This window comes from Homo sapiens, chromosome 6, assembly GCF_000001405.40.
Source record: "Homo sapiens chromosome 6, GRCh38.p14 Primary Assembly".
Classification (NCBI taxonomy): domain Eukaryota; kingdom Metazoa; phylum Chordata; class Mammalia; order Primates; family Hominidae; genus Homo; species Homo sapiens.
Window position 1 is genome coordinate 117,905,275 of NC_000006.12, and position 21,687 is coordinate 117,926,961.

Genomic DNA, 21,687 nt, shown 5'->3' on the forward strand with positions numbered 1-21,687 from the left:
GAATCAGAGGATAAGAAGGGATCTGATGCTGTATTCCCCCAGAAATGGAGTAACAAAAGCATAAGGCTTGAGTCTGCATTGAGGTCTTACCAACAAGATCGAAATTTTACATCTCTCATCTTGTTGTTCTTTCATCTTGGTTTTCTCCCTTCCTGACTCAGAGGAGATGTAGAGCATTTGGATTTAGTAGTCCCTCTAGAGAAATGACCAGATGCAAATGCAGACATTGAAGTGCAGACACAGCACTGAGTCGTGATGTGCCAAAAACATTCAAAGGGAGGCAAGCCAAATGTGAAGGAAGAGGGCACTGAAGCAACCAGTTATTCAAGGCAGACACCTGAAATTACCATAAATGTTGTTTTAATAGAGAGACTTCTACCACGATTTGCTGCCAGGTTCAGCTGAAGTGCATTTTATTCATGTCTGCTACATTCGGTGGGTCCACTAAGGGTAAATTTATTGCCACTATTGGAATTTTAATGCCCAAGAGGCTACAAGCCTTGGTCCTGTTTGTAATAATTCTTCAGAGTGTCCTGTGCAAATCTGAGGTGGAAAAATCAGAGAATGAAAGGTTGTTGAGAAAGAACAGGACGACATTTTAATTATAAAAGGGAAAATGTTCCAATTGGGGTTAATTTCTGTAGAAAGAAACCTCAGGGATATTTCAGGTAGCAAGTAGGTTTTACAGAATTGAAATATAGATTGAAGAGATTTTGCAAATACCCGTTTTCTCATATTTTTGATGATTAAAAAAAGACTCCGAATTTTGTTAAAGGAATTGGACCTTGTTAACTGAACAAAGAATCCCATCTTATTTATATCCTTCCATATTCCTTTTCTCCTCTGTTGAAAGGACATAGTCCATTCCTTTTTTGAGTGTTATTTTCTCCCCAATTCCCTCTCTCAGTGGCAAATCCTATCACTGGTATTTTTAATTTGCTGGTTTCAGAGCATTTGGATTCAGTAGTGGTATCAGCATGCCTTTGTGTGAACAAACTTACCTGTTAAACTTACTCAATTCCCTGCACTGAAGCGAAGAGTTTTTTAAAATGCATATCATTTTTCAAGGCAAGATCCCTATCTAAACAGTCTAAATAAAGGAAAATTTGAAAAATATCTCTCTTTCAAGAATCGATTATTAATTGGGATCCGGATCAATTGGTATAAGAATGCCCGGGACAGAGAGTCAGTTTCCATTGGTAGAAATATGGTCCAAGATTTCTGTGGCAGATACACAGGACTTTCCCTTTTGGAGTTGGGGGACTATTAAAGGAGCTGTTAGGCTCCCCTGCTGCGTGGTTTACCTCATTTAAGTCTTACAACTCCCCTGGGAGAAAGACATGAGTAGTCTCGCTGCACAGAGAAGAATGTCTCAGAATTTAATTGCTTAGAGTCTCTGCGGATAAGTTTCAGATGTGCCACTGAAACTCAAATCTGCCTACGTTCCTTTCACAGCACTACATTGCCTCAAATGGAGACGTTTTGAGTTGGTCTGATATGCTTTTTCCAGTTCCCAGAATTGATTCTTTGTGAGAAGTAGTTTTTTCTCCCATTTCCACCAGGCCAATTATGGCGAATGTAGTAGGAGCAACATCTAGGATTCTCCGTTTGGGTTTCTAATCCGGGGCCGGCACCTGTCTCGGCGTCCTGCCGCTGTCCCAGGCCGGTGGTGCTGGATTCCGCGGCGCTTGGGCAGAAACGAGGAATCCCCGCCAACTCCACAGGGAGGATCTATTCCCAGCCCCCTTATCCCCCTAAAAAACACCCAAACCAAAACAATCACCACAACCTAGACCGTGGGCCTCTGCGGACGGGGCAGTAGAGGGTCGGGGGCAACAAGGCACCTCGGCAGCGCCCTCTGGCGAGAGGAGAGCGCGCAGGTCCCCCGCCCGCGCCCCGCTCTGCCGCCGCCGCCGCCGCCGCCGCCGCCGCCGCCGGCGCCCCCGCCCGGCTCTCCGGGTTCACCCTCGGTCTCTCACTCCGTGAGACACAGACGGTAGCTTTCCGACCGAGCGGGGCACAGGCTGAGGCGGCGCCAGCACAACTGCCGCCGCGCGCCCCGAGGAGACCCGGGCACGAGGAAACAAGGAGAAATCAGGACTCCTTCCCCGGAACCGACCGGCAGCTCCGCGCCCCCGCGCGACACCCTTCGCAGCCACTTCGCGGGGCGGGCCAGGACTTGGGGACGCGGCTCGGGAAGAGCCGGGGCGGGCGGCGGCGGCGGCGGCACGGGCGCGAGGGTGCGCGCACTGGGACTGGAGAGGAGTGAGTGGCGGGCTGGGCGGCGGCGGCCGTAGCCGCGGGTGCCTCCCCGCCTCACCGCTTCGCAGGCAGCACCGCCTCCCGGGCCGCGGCCGCCCGGCCGGGTCCTCTGCGCGTTCCCGGGCCCGGAACCGGCACACGATGCACCCGGCTGCGTTCTGATCGCCGCCGCGCCTCAGCCTCTGCCGCGATGATCCCCCCTGAGCAGCCGCAGCAGCAGCTGCAGCCGCCGTCGCCAGCCCCGCCGAACCATGTGGTGACCACCATCGAGAACCTGCCGGCCGAGGGCAGCGGCGGCGGCGGGAGCCTGTCCGCCTCCTCCCGGGCTGGCGTGCGCCAGAGGATCCGCAAAGTGCTGAACAGGTGAGCGGCGGCGCCGGGCGAGGGCGCGGGGGGCGGGGGCTGCGGGCGCCCGGCTCCGGGTCCCCTCCGTCCCTGGGGCGGCCCACGGGTCCTTTGGGACGGGGTTGCGGCCGGAGGAGACTGAGGAGATCGGGCGACGACGCGCTCCGCGGGCGCAGAGAGGCCGCGGCAGCTTTGTCCCGGCGCAGGGAGCCCTGGAGTGGTGGAGCTGCAGCTGGTCCGAGGCGGGAGTTCGGGGAGAGGCGGGGTTTTTCGTACCTAGCCACCCTGTATGTGTGTCCGCACTCACACCCTCCATACGCGTGCCGCCTCACTTCCCTTTCCCTCTCGCACCCCGGCTTTGCGATCGGGGGTCGGGGGGACGCGGGGACCCGGCCAGGGCTGAGGAGGGAGGCGCGGGGCTGCAGAGATGGCGTGGAAGTCCTGGGCCTCGTGCTGTCCTCCGCCCCGCCCCGCCCGGGGGCTTCGACCCCTTGCCGGGGGAATGGGGTCGCAGCGACAGCCTAGCAGGCGGAGGGAACCCACTTCTCCAGCCTGACGCTCCAGTCGCCTCTCGGACTCTTCCTGGCTGGGAGCAGCGAAGAGAGGGCTAGAGGCCTGGAACAGACCCAGCAAAGTGCAAAACATTGCGGGCAGGGTGTGAGCCGGCGGCGCCCAGTTATTCCGAAGCGCCCATGCCGGAGGGGGCGGGTGCCGATCGCCGGCGCCTCCAGTGCTGGAATCTGCGTAGTGGATTCAGGACGTTGACGTTTTAGGATGAGGACCTGGGTTGACGTGAAAATGGGGGTACCTCTGGCACCTCTGACTCAACTGTGATGTGAAAGGGACTTTTTCTACTTAAGTAACTTGAAATGGTTGACGAGCTGACACCTTAAAAAATTGTATAGGGAATGGGTTTTGTGTTCTTTTTTGTTTGGATGCGTGGGTGCCTTTCGATGCATCTGTAGGGGTAACTGTTCCAGTCGCTCTGTTCATACAGGTTTCTGTGTGGCATTGTGTTGGGTAGCAGAGATTCCCAACGAATTCACACGGAACTGTCTGGGGCTCAAAGCTCTGGTGGGAGTACAAACTATGTACAGAAATAGAATCTTGAGAAATATCCTTATTTTGGGAGTATAGTTTAATTTAGTTATATCAAATCCCGAACCATTCAAGAATCCCTGGTGGGGAATTAATGCGTGCGTTAGTTTATTTGCGGGTACTTCTGTAGCTTTCCATTTATTATCAAACAGAAAGAAATTCACTCTGACGGGAGACAGGAGTTGGTAATAGAACTAAGTCTTTGATTTGTAGCTGAGAATACCACCTTCCAAAAGATAAAGTAGAATAAAGCAAGAAGACGCTGGCTCAGTACATATTATGTGGGTTTTGTATTTTTTATGAATACCTGTGAGTTTTTTTTTCAATTGCAATTACCTTGTCATTGGCTGTTTAAATTTTTAATCACAATATATTTTAATTATTATTATTTCTCATCAAACTAGAAAATATTGATGTAATATTTTGCTCAGTTTCTTTTTGCTCAATTATAAGTTATTACTGATTCCATGTAGGTTATTTCTTGATATGTAATGAATCATAGAGCCCAGAAAAACAAGATCACTGAGGTAGGAGTGAGGGGTATGTTGTCATCATACCTTGGCCAGTAGCTAGACAAGTGGTTTGCAGCAGAGCCATTTATCTGCTTGGTCTTGGTTTCTTCATTGTAAATTATGTTTAATAATACAGTACTTGTTTTACTTCCCTACCATGATTTTGAGAATTAGATAATGCTGAAGAAAACACTTGGAAAAGTATAAAGATCTACATGAATTAATGTATTCAACTCATTTTTTTTCTAAGGTAAGCCTATGGGGTAAACATAGGCAAATGAAGTTGAAGTCATGCTACGTTATGGGTAGAACCTTGTGTTTCTAATGAAACGATCTGTGACATGAGTTGTACTAGTCCCAGTGTATAGAGGAGGAACTTATACTTATGTTGGGTTGACGGCATTTCATCGCAGGTATACAACCGTGAATGGAACCCTAGGTTTGTAGCCTTTAGACTTAAGCTAAAACAATTATTTATTTATTTGTCTTTCAAAGTTATTCAAAATTTTCAATATAATATTTTGTATTGAGTAACTGGCTTTTCCTTATCCTTAAAGGATAAGAAGAAACTCTTTGTTTCAAGAAAGAACATTTTTAGTAAGGAGACTGAAAAATCTGAGCAAGTTTTAAAATCTCAATGGCATAATTTATTTAGCATGCTGATGGGCTTGGCTTTTGTGCCATAATTATGTCAATGAGAGCCTTAATAGTGGCTATAGAGTGATTAGGCTCTAGGTAAAAGTGAGAGTATGGGGGAGAGTGAATTTTTGAGATTCTGCAGAGTGCTTGGATGTGGCTCCCCTCTGGTTTGAACCCTCATGATGTGTTGGACTAGTCAGTAATGGATATCAGGCAGGCCCATTGGGGCCTAATCATAAGCATCTTTGTCAATTTTCTAAGAACTCACCATCTGCTTACTTTCTCCTTTTTTGCTTTCTTCTTTTCCTCTTCCTCCTTCCTGAATACTTCACCCACATTGCCCTGTCCACTCATTGTCTTCATTTGTCTTCTTTCCTCTACCCTTGGCATGCAGCAACTTAGCTCCTAGCAGAAAGTGGTTCCAAATCGGGAAGCTGGGAGCCAATATAAAAAATATCCCTCCAACTTTTGACATGCAGATATATGGTTAGCAGCATTCTATTGCTGTGGGCTGGTAGGGCTAGTCTCTTCAGTGACTGAAATGGGGGCTGTACCACTGTCAGCTCCTAGCATCCCACTGGGCCAAAGGGGTAATGCTGAGACACAGAGTGGTGCAATGGGACGAGAAATATTAGACTGTGAGCAAGCCAAGCCTGGCGAATTGCCTGCCATTGGTCACAGTCTACAGGAACAGCTATCTGACAACCCAGAGGAAGAACTGCAAACACATACGCTATCTATATCCTGTCTACCCAGGGAGAGTTAAAGAGAGAATTGCTCATCAATAATTAATTAAAGGTACTTCTTGCTCTCAAGAAGCTTAGAATGAAATATAGTGTTATCTTAATAAAATCTGCCTTACATTATTCAGCATCATTTTATTTCCATAGTATACTCCATAGCCTCTCCCCTTACTCTAAAGGCTTGTCGAGTTGGATTGCTGCATTTTGTACACAACAATTGGGGTATTTCATTGGTTGACTACTCCCTTTCTGTGAAACAGTTAGATTAGAATGTAATTATATTCAAGACTTGGTGAAAGAGGAGGCACTAGATAATTTTTTAAAATAATTAATGGGACATCACATTTTTTCCCCTGGTATACTCAAAATTGTTTTGGCAAAAGGATGCAAGAAACATGACAATTTAAATGCTGGAATAATTACTACTCCTTTAATATTCAAAATTGTGAACCAATCAATATATTGATTCAAACAAGGAAAAAATACGGCAAAGTCTTCTTCACATTTCCCTCCCCTCCCCTCCCCTCCCCTCCCTCCCTCCCTCCCTCCCTCCCTTCCTTCCTTCCTTCCTTCCATCCTTCTGGCAGGATCTTGGTCTGTTGCCCAGGCTGGAGTGCAGTGGCATGATCACAACTTATTGCAGCCTTGACTTCCTGGGCTCAAGTGATTCTCCCACCTCAGCCTCCCAAGTAGCTGGGAATACAGGTGCACACCACCATGCCTGGCTATTTTTAAAAAATTTTTAAATTTTTAGTAGAATCGAGGTCTCGTTCTGTTTCCCAGGCTGGCCTCAAACTCCAGGCCTCAAGTCACCCTCCCACCTTGGCCTTCCAAAGTGCTGCAATTGCAGACATGAGCCACTGTGCCTGGCCTTCCCTTATTTCTTAGCATGGTATAGTATATATTACCCTGCCACAGGCAATCAGAAAATGACGAAAAGAAAATACTTCAAGGGCAACAGTTGATGACCCTCTCAAAGAAACTGCTGATCAGGTAGATTTCTTAGACACATACAGGAGTAGCTACTGACCTACATATTAAAGTGCCTGAAGATTTTGTACTCTAAATGATTTCTTAATGAAATGTTTTTGAGAAATGAGTGATAGCTTGTTTTGTGTTTTGCATATGTGTGCTTTTATCTTTTCCCACATGAGTATTATTTTCAGTTGTTAACAGAAATATCTGTGAATTTCTTGTTTTGATACACTTTCTTCCCATTAAGACATACAGTGGGTTGTCTCAAATTATAAAGGGGTTTCTGCCTCTTTGAGTCTTATGGCGGGAATGTTTAATCATTAGAATGGAATCACTACTGATTCTGACTCATCCATTCATTTGATTTAGAATGAACTGATTTCCAACTTATATTTAGATTTATTTTCAAATTTCTGAAACCTTTTTGAATATAAACCAAAGATCGTTAAGGATATACATAGAAGAGTTTGAAGCAAGCCTACATAAAATCAATGTCCAAGTAGGAAACTTACCATGTAAAATGGGACAATATGTGTACATAGCCTTTCTGAGTCATTAAATAAGGTGGACAGAACATCATGAACCAATGGATATGACTGAACTCTAGGTATTCCATACAGTTGGTGGAAACATATAATTTAGATGATCCTTTCTGATCAAGTGAGAAGGCTTTTGTTAGGAAATTAATGGTGAGAATCTTCCTCAAGCTGCTCCGTCTAAAACATGTCAAAATGAAAAGAGGAAGATCAGCTAGTAATGAGGTTGATTAATATAAAATATTCCAAGTGGAACTGGGTGGTGTGATTAAAAACAGACTTTTCTAAGATCAGTAGTAAAGAAAAGATGTCTGAAGGGTGCATTTGTTTTTAACTAAAAGGACAAAATTATAAAAATAAATGATTATACCAGTATACTTGTATTTATGCCCAGTGCTTGGAGAAACTAATGTTCACATTAAAGGGATATTTGGATTACCTCAGATAAAGATGATGTGTTTTCAGGTAATTAACGTGTATTAAAATATACTTGTCTTTGTGTGATTTTCTTTGAACTTTTACTTTCTCAAAATCCTTCAGTGTCTTAGGGGCATCTTAACTGATGTCTGTTTTCACTGTACACATCTATAGATGTAGAAGGTATAGGCAATTGAGCTGCTGCTCATATCGCTCATATAGCTCTAAAGTTACTTAATGCAAGAGATGTTTTATTATGTAGTTGCCATTTCTCATAAAAATAATATGGAGCATGTGAAAGTACCACCACCAGATTTTAGTTTAGCTTGCTTGTTCATTTGCGTTCAGGCCAATGAGCATGCCCTGTACATTGTTCAGACACATTAATTCTTGATTATGCTTCTCAAGAAGTATGCTTAGGAAGACAAACTTCAGTAGATGTATGGAAAAAACCTATGAATTTTGGGCATGTTTCTTAATGGTAACATGAACATATACAGGTCTATATTCATTTATTCTTAAGCAGTAACTGTATGCTGAGCCTTCTTATGGAATACACACATGTGACGAAACATTATTCTTGGGCCAAAACCTCAAAACCTAACTGGGAAACTTGACATGTGTATCACTATTTAGAATGAACGTTGTAATTCATAATCTGAATTGTTACACATAATGCCTAAATAAATGCTTCCCAGTGTCTAGATATTGGAATAATGTAAATGAGCTGTTCAATATGCAATGCGTATTAACCTTGTTCTGACACTTTGGAATTATACAGGGAATCCTTGAATGTACAATAGTTAAGAAGGAATTTCACAAGAAATGTCAAAGAAAACAATAACAATAAATATTCTTTAGGAAGTATTTTCTTAGAAAAAATGTTAGTGGCAACTCAGTTAGTTAGTGGCAACATGAGTATAATTTTTTGAATTATATTATAATTTAAGTTTTAAAAATATTGTTTCAGCCAGGGGCGGTGGCTCACAACTGTAATCCCAGCATTTGGGAGGCCAAGGTGGGAGGGTCATCTGAGGTCAGGAGTGTGAGACCAACCTGGCCAACATGGCGAAACCCCATCTCTACTAAAAATACAAAAATTATCTGGGCGTGGTGGTATGCGCTTATAGTCCCAGCTACTCAGGAGGCTGAGGCACGAGAACCACTTGCACCCAGGAGGCAGATGTTGCAGTGAGCCAAGATCACGCCACTGCATTCCAGCCTGGGCAACAGAGTGAAACTCCATCTCAAAAAAATCCCCCCAAAAACAAAAACAAAAGAATCCTATCTATCTATCTATCTATCTATCTATCTATCTATCTATCTATCTATCTATCTGTCTATCCACATATATACACACACGTGTATATGTGTGTGTATATATATAGAGAGAGTTTCTATTAATTTAAATTCTAAACTTTGTCTGAAGAATATTTACTATGTGACTCTCTGAGGATTAAAAAAAAAAAAGCCCTTAAATATAGTTTTGCAAGTTCCGAGATTATAAGCCACCAATTCCTAATAAATTCCATTTAAAAAAATAGAGAAACCTACTATAACTGAACAAACACTGAATAGATTTTTAAAACCAAATCATACTAATTATATACAGATTTAGAGTGACAGGGCTACAATTTGTGATCATATCTGAGTCTGAGAAAGCACAAAGCACTCTGGTCTGTCGTATAAGATAGATCTCCTCACATTCATTGATTCATTCATGCAGGGAGAATTTTATTCAATGAGTGTTTATTGAGTGACTATTATATGTTGGGCACTGCTGGATCACAATGGCTAGTATGGCCTCTGGGTGCCATTGGTGGAGTTTCTGTTATTACCCTTTGAATATAACCCATCAAGGGAGCAATTTAACTAAAATAGAAATAAAGATAACATATACCTCTCAAAATGCTATAGTTTCAAAAATGATGTTTTCAAGCTGATCTGACAAAAAATCCCCATAAATTAGTTGTTTCACTTTTAGGAAAACTGCCCAGGTAGAAGACTGAAACATAATAAAATTACTCAACGTCTACATAGATTCAAGAAGCAGACCTTTTTTGATGAATACCATTGAGTTTGTTTCACTTAGGGCTTAAAAAATATTAAAAAAAAAAGAGGAACAGCTATTAATGTTCATCCAACTTCAGAATGTTAGAAGGAAAAGGAGAACAGATTTGAATCCCATTCTTCTGTTCAGGGTGAACCTATCAAGGTCCTTGCCATGTAACTCAAGAAAATAGAGTTTTCTGAAAATATTAATGTGCTGACAGTGCATAGGCAACTTTTTGGGACTTGGGGACATGTTTATGCATTGCAGATGGAGAGATTTAAAATATGCAAGAGTATATTTTATATATGGATTTTTATATATAATTTGATACAACCTAACGAGAGTGTTTGAGATGTTTGAGTTAAAATTAGCATTTAGACAATGACTCAAGTTCTCTGATTTTACCTTATAAGGCATATACTTTATAGTATAAAACATTACATTGTATGTTTTTCTTCTAATAACAAAGATTAGTATTCTTATCCTTTTCTAGAGAAGAAAACAAATTTATGTGGTGATACAGCTAAGTGCTTTTGTAAAACCACAGAGGAGGGAGAGAGCATGCTAGGCTGGAGAAAGGTCAGGAGGGATCAGGGATGGCATTTGTCCTTGGCAATGAAAGATGGGTAGGAAAGGAATATGTGCAGGGAGAGGGAGGTGAGACAGGATGAGCCGTTCATGGAAGTAAGAGATTGGGGAAGAATTAAGTGTCCAGTTTGACAATATTATAGGATGCGTCAATACAAAGGGAAGAAGAGGGAATTAAGGCTAGATTTGTAGGATGGGATCAGATAACTGAAAGTCTTAGATGCTCTAATAAGCAGTTAGACTTATTAAGTTATTTTAGGTTACTGAGTAGAGAAATGACATGATCAGAGATGTGCCCAAATATGATACTCTGGGGGAAAATCTATAGGACAAAAGGAGAAGGAAAAGACCAGAGTTTGGGGATCAGTTAGGAGGCTACTGCAGTCATTTAGAGGGGAAGAAATGTGAGTCTAAGTGGGGTGGAGGCAGCCAGGACGGAGAGGGAAGTGCTCTGATTTGAACAGAATCTGGACCAGGTCAGCTAAAAGAAGATTTGATTATTTTTGAGAAGGCACTCAGCAGTGCCTGTCAAATAATGGGTATTTAATACTTGTTTGTTGAAAGGTTATTGAAAGCCACTACAGGAAAGAGATCTGCTCTCCAGGGCCTAGGGTGCTGAGTGAGCTAGAGGCTGCTGGGAGGACAGCAGCTAGCTATTCAGACCGTGGGCTATGGATGCCTGCCGGACTACAGACTGTGTGGCCAGACCGTGATGAGAACAGAAATTGGGAGTAAGCATTTAGAAATAACTGTAGCAGTTTGAGAGAGCACTTTTATATTTTTTGTCCTAATATTTAAGAATCGGGTCTTGTATTTTGGTTTTTGTTTTTTTCCATCTCATTTTTTCTCATAATTGATTTTTATTGTATTTCACAAAAGTATTGTCTTCTATGAATTGTTAAAAAACGGGTATTTTATGACAGAATGTTTGAGAAGCACTGGTGCCAGCCAGATATCCAAGTGGAAGTAAGAGTGAATTTGGATTCTGGGAGTGCATCTAATCATGGATGGGGGGAGCGGTTCCTCATTGTGGGGGCATCAGGTTGGTACTAGTCATGACCCTGAAAATCTGTACCTATAAGGTGATGATGTGGAAGCAGTAGAGTAAGGCTGACAATAGCTACAAGTATCAAGGCCCCAGCCAAATGGCCTGGTCTTCAGCTGGGGCACCTTGCCTGAAAGGGATGCCCTGGAATGTGAGGCAGGGAAACTATTTAGGAGTACAGGACAGCAGCCCAGGTCTGTAGAATGGGCAGTAAGTGGGGAGTAAGACTTTTCAGAGATCACGCAATTAAGGAGGTCACATTCTGTGTTTGGGTGACAGGAAGGTGGGTCAGGGTTACCTGGGGTCCCAACATGAGTGGCCAGACCACTGATACAGCTTCACCTCAAGCTCTGAGGAGCACAGACCAGGAGCCCCTCAGCCATTTAACAAAGAATTACTGAGTCAGGTTAGAGGCACAATCTAGCTGTTAGGGATACTTCGGGAAACAAAGCAGAAAAGACCTCCACTCTCATGGAGACTACATTCTACAAGAAAGGCAGGCAATAAAAACATGAAAAAGGTATCCAACAGTGGCAAATAATATGCAGAGAATCAAAGTGGGGTGATGTGACAGAGAGGGAACAGGTGGTACTTCAATTTGGCTGGTCAGGCCTCTCTCTCTCTCTCTGATGACACTGAAGCTAAGATTAGAATAGCCAAAAGGAAATGGCCACTGGAGGGTCTGGAGGAAAGTCATTCCAGGCAGAGATGCTAAGATGAAACAAGTCTTCATAATGATGTGAAAGAAAGGGAGGCTGGAGAGCAGGAAACAGGAGAGCATAAGTGAGGAGGTCAGAGAGGGTCAGTTGTCAGTTCTAAGTGGGCTGGGGAACAAGTGGAAGATTTTAAGCAGAGGAGTTGTCTGGCTAATGTTTTGAAAAGACCACTCTGGCTGCTGTTGGAGAATGGATTGCGGGAGAAGTACATACCTACTAGATGAAAGAGATGTTGGAAGCTGGCTGGCCTGTAGCAACAGAAGTGGAGACAAGCGGTTGTGATCTGCAGTGGTTTGCACTGGGAGGTGGAGTACACAGGACTGGTTGAGTGATTTGACAGGGCAGATGAGGGAGAGGAATAAAGAAACATTTCCAGTTTTTTGGGCTTGAGCAATTGGGTGAGCGATGGTGCCATTTTCTAAGGTGGGAAAGACTGGGAGAGGAACATGTTTGATGGTAGGAATTAAAGAGTTTACTTTGGCAAGTAAAGTTAGAGATGTGTAGTGAAACGGTCAAAAGAAAGCTGGAGTGTGGAATTCTGGGGAGAAGTCGGAGTGTGGAATTCTGGGGAGAAGTCAGAGCTTGGAATTTGGATTTGGGGATCATGAGTCCTGGATGCATGTGTAGATAGAGAGAAAGAGGGGTACCAAGAACAATTTGGGGGGCACACTAACCCTCAAACACAGAAGGACTCAGCAAAGGAACTGGAGAAGGAAGGATCTGAAGTAGGAAGGAAACCAGGAGAGTATGGTGTCCAGAAGCCAAGAGAGAAGATGTTTCCAGAAGGAGGCAATAAGCAGTCCACTGTGCTGAGAGTAATTGAGGAAAGGACAGATAAATGACCAGTGGCTTGGCAACACAGGGAACCCTGTGGCTGTGGCAACCACAGGGTCAGAGGAGTGGTGCAGCTGGAAATGTGGATGGAATGGTTTGGGAGGGAATGTGAGGTGGAGGTGTTGAGAATATGACTTTTGAGAAATTTTGTCCTAACAAGGAATAGAGTGTAAGGAGAGTCTTTTAATGGGAGAGATAATACAACAGGTCTGTGTGCTTATGGGAATGCTGTACTGAAGAGGGAAAATTGCAGGAAGGAGTGAGATAAAGGAAGGAGGGAACCTTGAGAAGGCTCAGATGGTGGAATTCAAAGCATGGTGGGGAGGAACTAGTCTTTGACAGGACTAGGACACTGTCCATAGTACAGAGGAGACACTGAGAATGGGGGTGTAAATGAAGGTAATTTGGTAGATTTCATGATTTCGTGGTGGGAATCATAGGCAGTTCCTCTCTGGTGGCTTCTCTTTCTCTGTGAACTCTGAGGCAAGGATATCAATAGTGAACAAAGATGCTAGTTGTTGGGGGAGGTGTGTAGGATGTTTGTACAAAGAGAAGTGGGAAACAGTCATTTCGAAGAGTAAGAAAGGAAATATACTAAAGAAGTGTTATGTGTAAAGTTGACATTTGTGGTGGGGATTCAGTAGAGGGCGTGATGAGCAGAAAGAAGCTACCGCTGTTTAGAATCTGCGACCTTGGAAAAGATGAACTCAGATCTGTGCCCAAGAAGCCAGAACCATCATCTTATAAATGAGGATAGTGGGGCAGTGCATATTTGAGGGGGCTCAGTAGGACTTGGGTCCTGATTGTACTGGGGAGTGGGGTATGAGAGAGAGAGAAGAGGGAATTAAGATAATTTTAAAATAATTTTTTTTTTAAGAGACAAAGTTTCACGCCATCATCCAGGCTGGAGTGCAGTGGTGCAATCATAGCTCACTGCAGCCTGAAACTCCTGGGTTCAAGTGATCTTCCTGCCTCAGCCTCCCGAGTAGCTAAGACTACAGGTGTGCACCACCATGCTGGGCTAATTTTTAATTTTTTTTTGTAGAGATGTTGGTCTTGCAATGTTCCCCAGGCTGGTCTTGAACTGGGTTCACGTGATGTTCCCACCTTGGACTCCCAGTGTGTTGGAATTACAGCCATGAGCCATCACACCTGGTGATGAGATGTGACTTAGCAATCACTTCAAGGTTTTATGTCTGGTCCACTGGAGTGATGGTGTCCCCTTTAGCCTGTGTCGTATGTTTTGTTTCAGGAAAACAGCTTAACTTTTGGGGGTTTCAATTCTCTCATTTGTAAACTGGTTAAAATAATTCTAGTTTTTCATTTCCCCTTGGATGTTTGGGAATTTTACATGCAATAACATCTGGGAGAGGGCTTGGAAAGCTGCCAAGCACCATGTAACTGTTATCCTGGTCCCAAAATTAAAAGGAGAGCCTGGGTTTTCGTGGCTTTGCGCTGTCATCTGGCCTGTGATAAATGCTGACCGGCTTCCTCGGCTCGCAGTGACTTTGATGCATAGTCCCTACTCTGGGGACTGTCGTTTTTGTCATGAGCCTTGTCAGTCAGAGTCTGAAGTGAAACCCACCGATCTATGAACTAGGACACTAGGCTGTTTACTTCAATGTGTTCATGTTTGTTTATATATATGTGTGCATATAAAGTATAAATATATGTAACAGAAAGTAAAAATGCATATGTATTTAATAAAAGTATAAATATATGTATTTATGGAAAGTATATAGCAAGCCTCCTCTTGGGAAGGCGATTTCAGCACTAGCATATGTTCTGCTGTCTAATTGTGCCTCTCAGCCCAGGAGCTCCGCGGTACCTGTGGTTCCTGAAAGAGAGTTTGACAGGCTTCAGGAAAGGGTTAGTGCCTCTTGAACTGGGGAGATTACAAAACGAGCGTGGGCCTAAAAGGCTCCACAGAGGCAGGCAGCGGGATGGATAGAGCGGCTCAGAGGGAAGGGACAGAGCCGCTTTAATGTGCTAATGAGGGGAAGCCCAGATGCCAGCGGGCTCAGTGGAGCTCTTTGTGACGCCGGGTTCCCGGGGCTGGCTGGAGTCTCTGTACCTATCTGGATCCTGCTGCAGGCCGGGGAAACACTGCGCTCTTAGAGAGGGGCCCTGTCCTCCACAGATAGCCCCGCAGACCCTCGGAACGCGGGTGGACGGGGAGGGCGTGCGCGAGCCTCGGGGCTTGGGTGGTGGCTGGAAAAGGGAGAACCAGGAGGCGGGGGAGGGGCGCTCGGACTACAGAGGACCGGACGGGGGCGAGTGTTCCGCGGGGTGTGTGGAGTAAGAGCTGGGACGGACCTTTGTAGCTTTGCGAAATTAACCGTTTTTCCTCCACAACTGCCAGCTCGGCGAATGGCCTTCAAGCCCATCCAACAGGAGATAATCTGTCCTTGGAACTAGTGCAAGTCAGTTTTTAACTACTTGCGGAGAAAGTCTGAAACGTCACAACCAACCAAACAAAAATGACCACCACCCAGTGAGTGCTGGAATGAAATTCATGTTCTGGTTATTTCATTCAGAGATGGCTCCAAGAATGCTAGATGGGAGGAGTTAGAGCACCCATTGAGTGGCAGCTGGGTCAGGGGGTTGTCTTGAAGTTGTGTTTGCATATCAAGAACACAGTGCAGGATTTACAAAGAGTATGTTTACTCGTACTAATCCATCTGCTAATGGAAAGATTGGGTAATGGGAGCTCCTCCAGCCACCCTTAAATGCTGCCTCTAGATTGCATTATAAAGTGTTGGGTCATAACTGTCTCTGGAAATATAAGTTCCCAGATAAAATAGACAGCTGAAGATGATCGATCCATGATATCTTGACCTTTTGTGTCCTATATTTCCTTTCTGAATATTCATGGGGGATATATAAATATTTAAATATAACATATATAATGTGTTATATATGTTATTTCTCAAATAATGAATATGAGATATTATTTGTAATGAGTCTTTGTCTATCCGCCTGAGTCTCTTTTTATGCTTTGCTCTATTTCTCTTTGACACACACACACACACACACACACACACACACACACACTTACTTAGACTGATAGGTAGAGGATAGTCTTTCACTTAATTGATGATAGCCCCCCAACTTTTTTTACTATGTTTTTTGGGAGGAGAGCTCAAGAGTTAGTTCAAGAAGAATGATTCATTTTTAAAGTGCTTCATTTCTATTTTGGAGTCACACTGAATTGATACCACCTAAGAAAAATAGAAGCATTTAATGTAGAATTACCCATGAGCTAGCTATATTTGGAAGTGTGAATGCACCTGTAGAACAGTCACCCCGTAAGGGGTTTCCCCCCATGTTCCTGAGCCATATATGGCTTCATTATAACACTTCAGTTCCAGGTGACAATAAGTACTGTGACTTGGATTTCAAATTTTACTCTTTTTTAGCTGTTCTAACAGTTTGTGTGATTTTAGTGCCTTTCAGGCAAAATTCTTCTATTTTATATAAAAAATTTCTCCTTGTTGCTTCCCATCTATTTCCTGCCCCTAGTGGGATACATGCCTTTTGGATTCACCTTCCTTAGTGAAAGCGGGGTGCTTTCAAGCCTAAAGAAGTATAGGCAATGAGGTGCTTGCTAGCACTAGTTTTAGAAAATTGATCATTTGCAACTCTTAGGCTGATAAATGAACTCATTTGTGTCCAAAGCAAAGAGACCCTAATTATTACTTCCCTGGCCCCAAAGTTAATTCCAACCTGAGAGCATGCCTTCCACAATGATGGAAGAAAAACACCATTTAATGCATTTATAGCAGTGGATATAAGATTGTTCATTTTGGATATCAATCGTCAAAGAAAATAGTGATTATGAAAAAATGTAAATGGGAATGTAGGTAGAATAAACTGGTGTACTGGACTTGCAGTTGGCTAGGCTGTGGCTTGGTGAATTAAGACAACAACAAAAAAAGATTTCTTAGCCAAATTGTCATCTTTATTGTCACAGCTAGAAAGCCATTCATTGGATTTAAGATCCAAGGATTCTCTTCCTTTTTAGTTGCTATTGAGCAAGCATGTAAAGGCCGGAGTCTACAAAGTACTTTTTTTCTAAAAGAAATTTCCACAGCCTGGTATATTCCACCACCAAGAGTGGTTGGAGGAGATAACACTTGTTTAATGAGTTAGTGGTGTGCTTATGGTAGGCTGGGGAAGAAAAGCTAAGAGAGTTGTATGGTAGTTAGGTAGTCCCAGCTCAAAGTAAGCATGGGGAAGGGAGAACAACATTTTCTTATTCTCATTCATAAATACTTTCCTGAACAAGTTCTACCAGTTAGATATTAATTTGTGTTAAATTTCTTCTGTATATACATCACCCTGGGAAAATTAAACAAAATTAGATTTATATCATTTGCATGTTACTTTAAGGACAGCGTAGTCCTAAATGTGATTAGCAGATGCAAAGAAGTATAAGGTTAGGTCCCTGCTCTCAAGTATACATATATTTTTATTTGTATGTATTCATGGAGTACAAGTGCAATTTTGCTACATCGTTAAGTATATTTTAATTTAGTTAATCAGTTATTATTTTAGTAATCAACTTGATTGCTTTCCCTTTAAGAGCTGAAATCAATCACAGAGAAGGATGGGAGCATTACTTGAAGGCATCTTTAGAACATGGGACATTGGACATTAGGACAGGTCTGATTGCAGTGCTACATGCTTGTAGCTTGCCCTGTCACTGGACTTTCATTATGTGGGATAATTAATATCCTCTTTGAGCCAGGTTTAGTTGGGATTTGTTTAACTTGCAGCTGAAAGCATCCCTAAGCATCTTCCTGTGTTACCAGCAGCCACTTTATGACCATGAAGTTGGGGTTTTACAGGGGAGCAAATTGTATCACTAGAGAGTTGGAAGCATTTTGGGCTAGCGGAGAACACATAAGCATGGAGAGCTTAGAGATCATCTTTGCTATCTTTAAAATATGTTCAGGACCCTCCACCAATGGAATCAAACATCATTTCACCAGATTTTCAGAGGCACACTGGTCAATAAATGTTTGAGAATATATCTGTGCAACAGCTATGCAAATTTTGACAAGTTTGCTGAAATACATGGTTTCTAAATCCCTGCAAACTCTTAAAATCCGTGATTATACATGACAATACAGCCCAAAGTCCTTCTGACAAACCAGATGAAGTTTATTTCTAAAGCATATGTATAGTCTTTCTTCTTAATGTGCTGGCACCTCAGAATAAAACTACAGCCCAGCCATTTCAGCAGTCATTCCGTGTGTGCTTGTGGCCTACAGGCAGACAGCCCATGCAGAGTTTAGAAATTAAACGTCTTGTGTGCTAAAGCTAAGCTCCGAAGAAGGAATTATTAGATACCCCAGTATATTGCGATAACCTTGCAAAAGTGGGTTCAGTTTAACTTGATAGGTTTTCTGTACTGGAATAGAATGGAAATTGACATACATGTATATATATATAAAATATATATATACACATACATGTGTATATACACATATATGGAATAGAATGGAAATTGACATACATATATACAAATACATATGTGTGTGTATATATACATATGTGTATATATACATATACATATGTATATATACATATATGTACATATGTACATATGTACATATGTATATATACATATATGTACATATATACATATGTACATATACATATATGTACATATATACATATATACATATGTATATATACATATATGTACATATATACATATGCACATACATATGTATATATACATATATGTACATATATACATATACACATACATATGTATATATACATATACACATTACATATATGCACATATATATGTGTGTACATATATACATATGTAGATACACATATACACATATATGTGTGTGTACATATATACATATGTGTTATGTACTAGATTGACACTTTATATATACATATATAGGGAATAGAATGGAAATTGACATACATATATACACATACATGTGTGTACGTATATACCTATACACACATAGGTACACATGCATATGTATATACACACATAGGTACACATGCATATGTATATACACACATAGGTACACATGCATATGTATATACACACATAGGTACACATGCATATGTATATATACACACATAGGTACACATGCATATGTATATACACACATAGGTACACATGCATATGTATATACACACATAGGTACACATGCATATGTATATACACACATAGGTACACATGCATATGTATATACACACATAGGTACACATGCATATGTATATACACACATAGGTACACATGCATATGTATATACACACATAGGTACACATGCATATGTATATACACACATAGGTACACATGCATATGTATATACACACATAGGTACACATGCATATGTATATATACACATACGCATAACACATATATACACATACCTATATGTGTGTACATATATACATATGTATATACGTATATACATATGTATATACGTATATACATATATATATGTCAAGTTCCATTCTGTTCCATATATATGTGTATTTATATATATTTAAAGTTTCTGTTAACCTAGTTGGCTTTTAAATTCCTGCTCCAGAAAACACAAATGTAACACCTTGAGGAGGAGGGCAATGCCAGAAGGTTGTTTACTGTGACAAGCTTTCTTTTCCTCTCTCGAGTATATGTTGCTTCACTAAAGCAGGGTGTTTTATCCAGTGTGATGTGATAGAAACTTGCTTTATAATAGTATCAAGGATCTGCCTACATAAAGAAGAATAATGAAGTCATTTGGCTTACATTTTTGATATCATTTGTATTGCCTCTGTGCAGGGTTGAGTGAAGCAGTTTCTATAGCTGCTGTAAGCAATAAGCCTCTAAATGTTAAATGCTGACTCAACATAAGCATGTCTGCAGAAGAAGATGATTAGCTTGAAGAGAAGCTAGCATCAGCAAGAAGAAATTCAACTACACATTCAAAAGGAATATAGAGTATTTACATGTGACATCTTCAGAAGCCACCTGAGAAAGAGAAAAACGTAATTGTGTTACATGGAAATAAGTGTGTTATCTCCCTTCTATCATTGACATTTGAGATTTTGTTCCCCAAAGTCTTGCATTGGTTTTCTCATCTAGTAAATCCATTTTACCTCAGATAGTTAATCTAAGCCAATTAGTTTATGGCATTTCTCTGGAGTCCAGGGCATGGAGATTGTTGTTGGTCTTGGGGTGGGCAAAGGTCCTGGGTTGGTACAACCAGATTGAAGATAAAGGACTTGCATTTAGATGGGGGAGGAGCTGTCCCTTTCTCTTGCTGAATTTGACAAAGCCATCTTGCTACCAGCTGCTAACAGTAGCCACTTTATGACCATGAAGGAAACCAGCAGTAGGATGTTACTAATGCTAAGGACAGCAGAGTGGACAGAAGGAAACTAGCTGGGTCCTTGGAGATATTATTTAGCAACTGATTGCATTGCTACATGCTTGAAGCTTGCCCTATCACTGGATTGTCATTATGTGGGATAATTAATATTCTCTTTAAGCCAGGTTTAGTTGGGGTTTGTTTGACTTGCAGCTGAAAGCATCTCTAACTAATATACACCTCTTTTACTCTGGCCTGAGACTGATGACCTTTGAATACAGTTCAGGGCCTTTTCATTTCTTTCAGTCTGGACACATCTGTCAAGGAAGAGCAGGGGCAGGTTTGCTCGAGTGTGTGATGTGCAGGGTGGTTTGCCCAAGATGTAGTTCTGCTGAGGGTAGAAAGAATGGGCTCTATGGTAGGTGTCATCCATACTGGTCTGTATATCCATACCAGTCTGTGGCACCTTTGATAATCCAAATCAGGTCTGGATTAGACAAATATATTGAGGAGCTTGAAGTACTGGGTGAAAGGCCCCCACTCCATGTCATCATCCATTTATTTATTTGATAAACATTTATTCTGAGCCTGCTTTGCCCAGGCTGGGGCTGGCATTGGGTATATGAAAGATCTCACACAGTATAATAGAAAACCATGGGAGCACTCAATAAAAGGAGTTGGGGAAGGCATCTAAGCATATGACAGTGATATGGTTTGGCTCTGTGTCCCCACCCAAATCTCACCTTGAATTGTAATCCCTATAATCCCCACTTGTCAAGGGTGGGACCAGCTGGAGGTAATTGAATCATGAGGGTGGTTTCCGCCATGCTGTTCTCTTGGTAATGAGTGAGTCTCATGAGATATGATGGTTTTATAAGCATCTAGCATTTCCCCTGCTTGCACTCATTCTCTCTCCTGCTGCCCTGTGAAGAGGTGCTTTCTACCGTAATTATAAGTTTCCTGAGACCTCCTCAGCCATGGGAACTGTTTGTCAATTAAGCCTCTTTTCTTTATAAATTACCCAGTCTTGAGTTTTTTTCGTAGCAGCATGAGGATGGACTGATACACACAGCTATGCTGACAACTAGAAAAAGAGGAGGACATAGCCAGAATTAAAAGAGGAGTGTGTGTGTGTGTTTGTGTTTGTGTGTACATGTGCATGTGCACATATGTGGTGGCAGTGGGGGTTATAGAGAATAGAGTTTTAGGCAGAGGAAACAATACATTAGAAGCCTGTGAGTGGGTGAGTATGTGATGAATTCTGGGAAATGAAACAGGTTCAGATGGCTGCAGCCATATATGAGAGGAAGAGATGTCAGAGGCTGGAGGAGTAGGTAGGGGCCAGATCATGCAGGGCTTTGGAGTTAAGTTGTGTATTTTGTCTTAAGAGCACTAAGTAGCATTGGAGACACTAAGCAGAAAAGTAACATGACTGATGTGTTCATAAGATCTGGCTGCCTGCAGTATAAACAGTGAATTTGAGTAGGGGAGCCCAGGTAGGAGACAGTTGCAGAGGAGAAATGGAGAGTTATGATGTACTCTAAAGTTACATTCTAACTACCCTTTTTGAAACCACGGGTTTTGATT

General features: G+C 42.2%; 1 protein-coding gene and 1 long non-coding RNA gene across 3 annotated transcripts in view; one reads left to right on the plus strand and one right to left on the minus strand.

Moving 5' to 3' along the window:
* Window positions 1-384: 384 nt before the first annotated feature.
* Window positions 385-1,656, minus strand: LOC124901480 (uncharacterized). The gene is made up of 2 exons (XR_007059904.1): window positions 1,002-1,656; window positions 385-543 (listed from the first exon to the last, which is right to left on the minus strand). It is a non-coding gene; the product is annotated as an uncharacterized LOC124901480 (long non-coding RNA).
* A 333-nt stretch (window positions 1,657-1,989) lies between these two features.
* Window positions 1,990-21,687, plus strand: part of SLC35F1 (solute carrier family 35 member F1) — a 410,408-nt gene continuing 390,710 nt past the window's right edge. For both annotated transcript variants that reach the window (NM_001029858.4, NM_001415931.1), the window contains exon 1: window positions 1,990-2,625. In NM_001029858.4, the coding sequence (NP_001025029.2) occupies window positions 2,453-2,625 (173 nt within the window). In that variant the 5' untranslated portion in view covers window positions 1,990-2,452. The remainder of the gene's footprint in view (window positions 2,626-21,687) is intronic.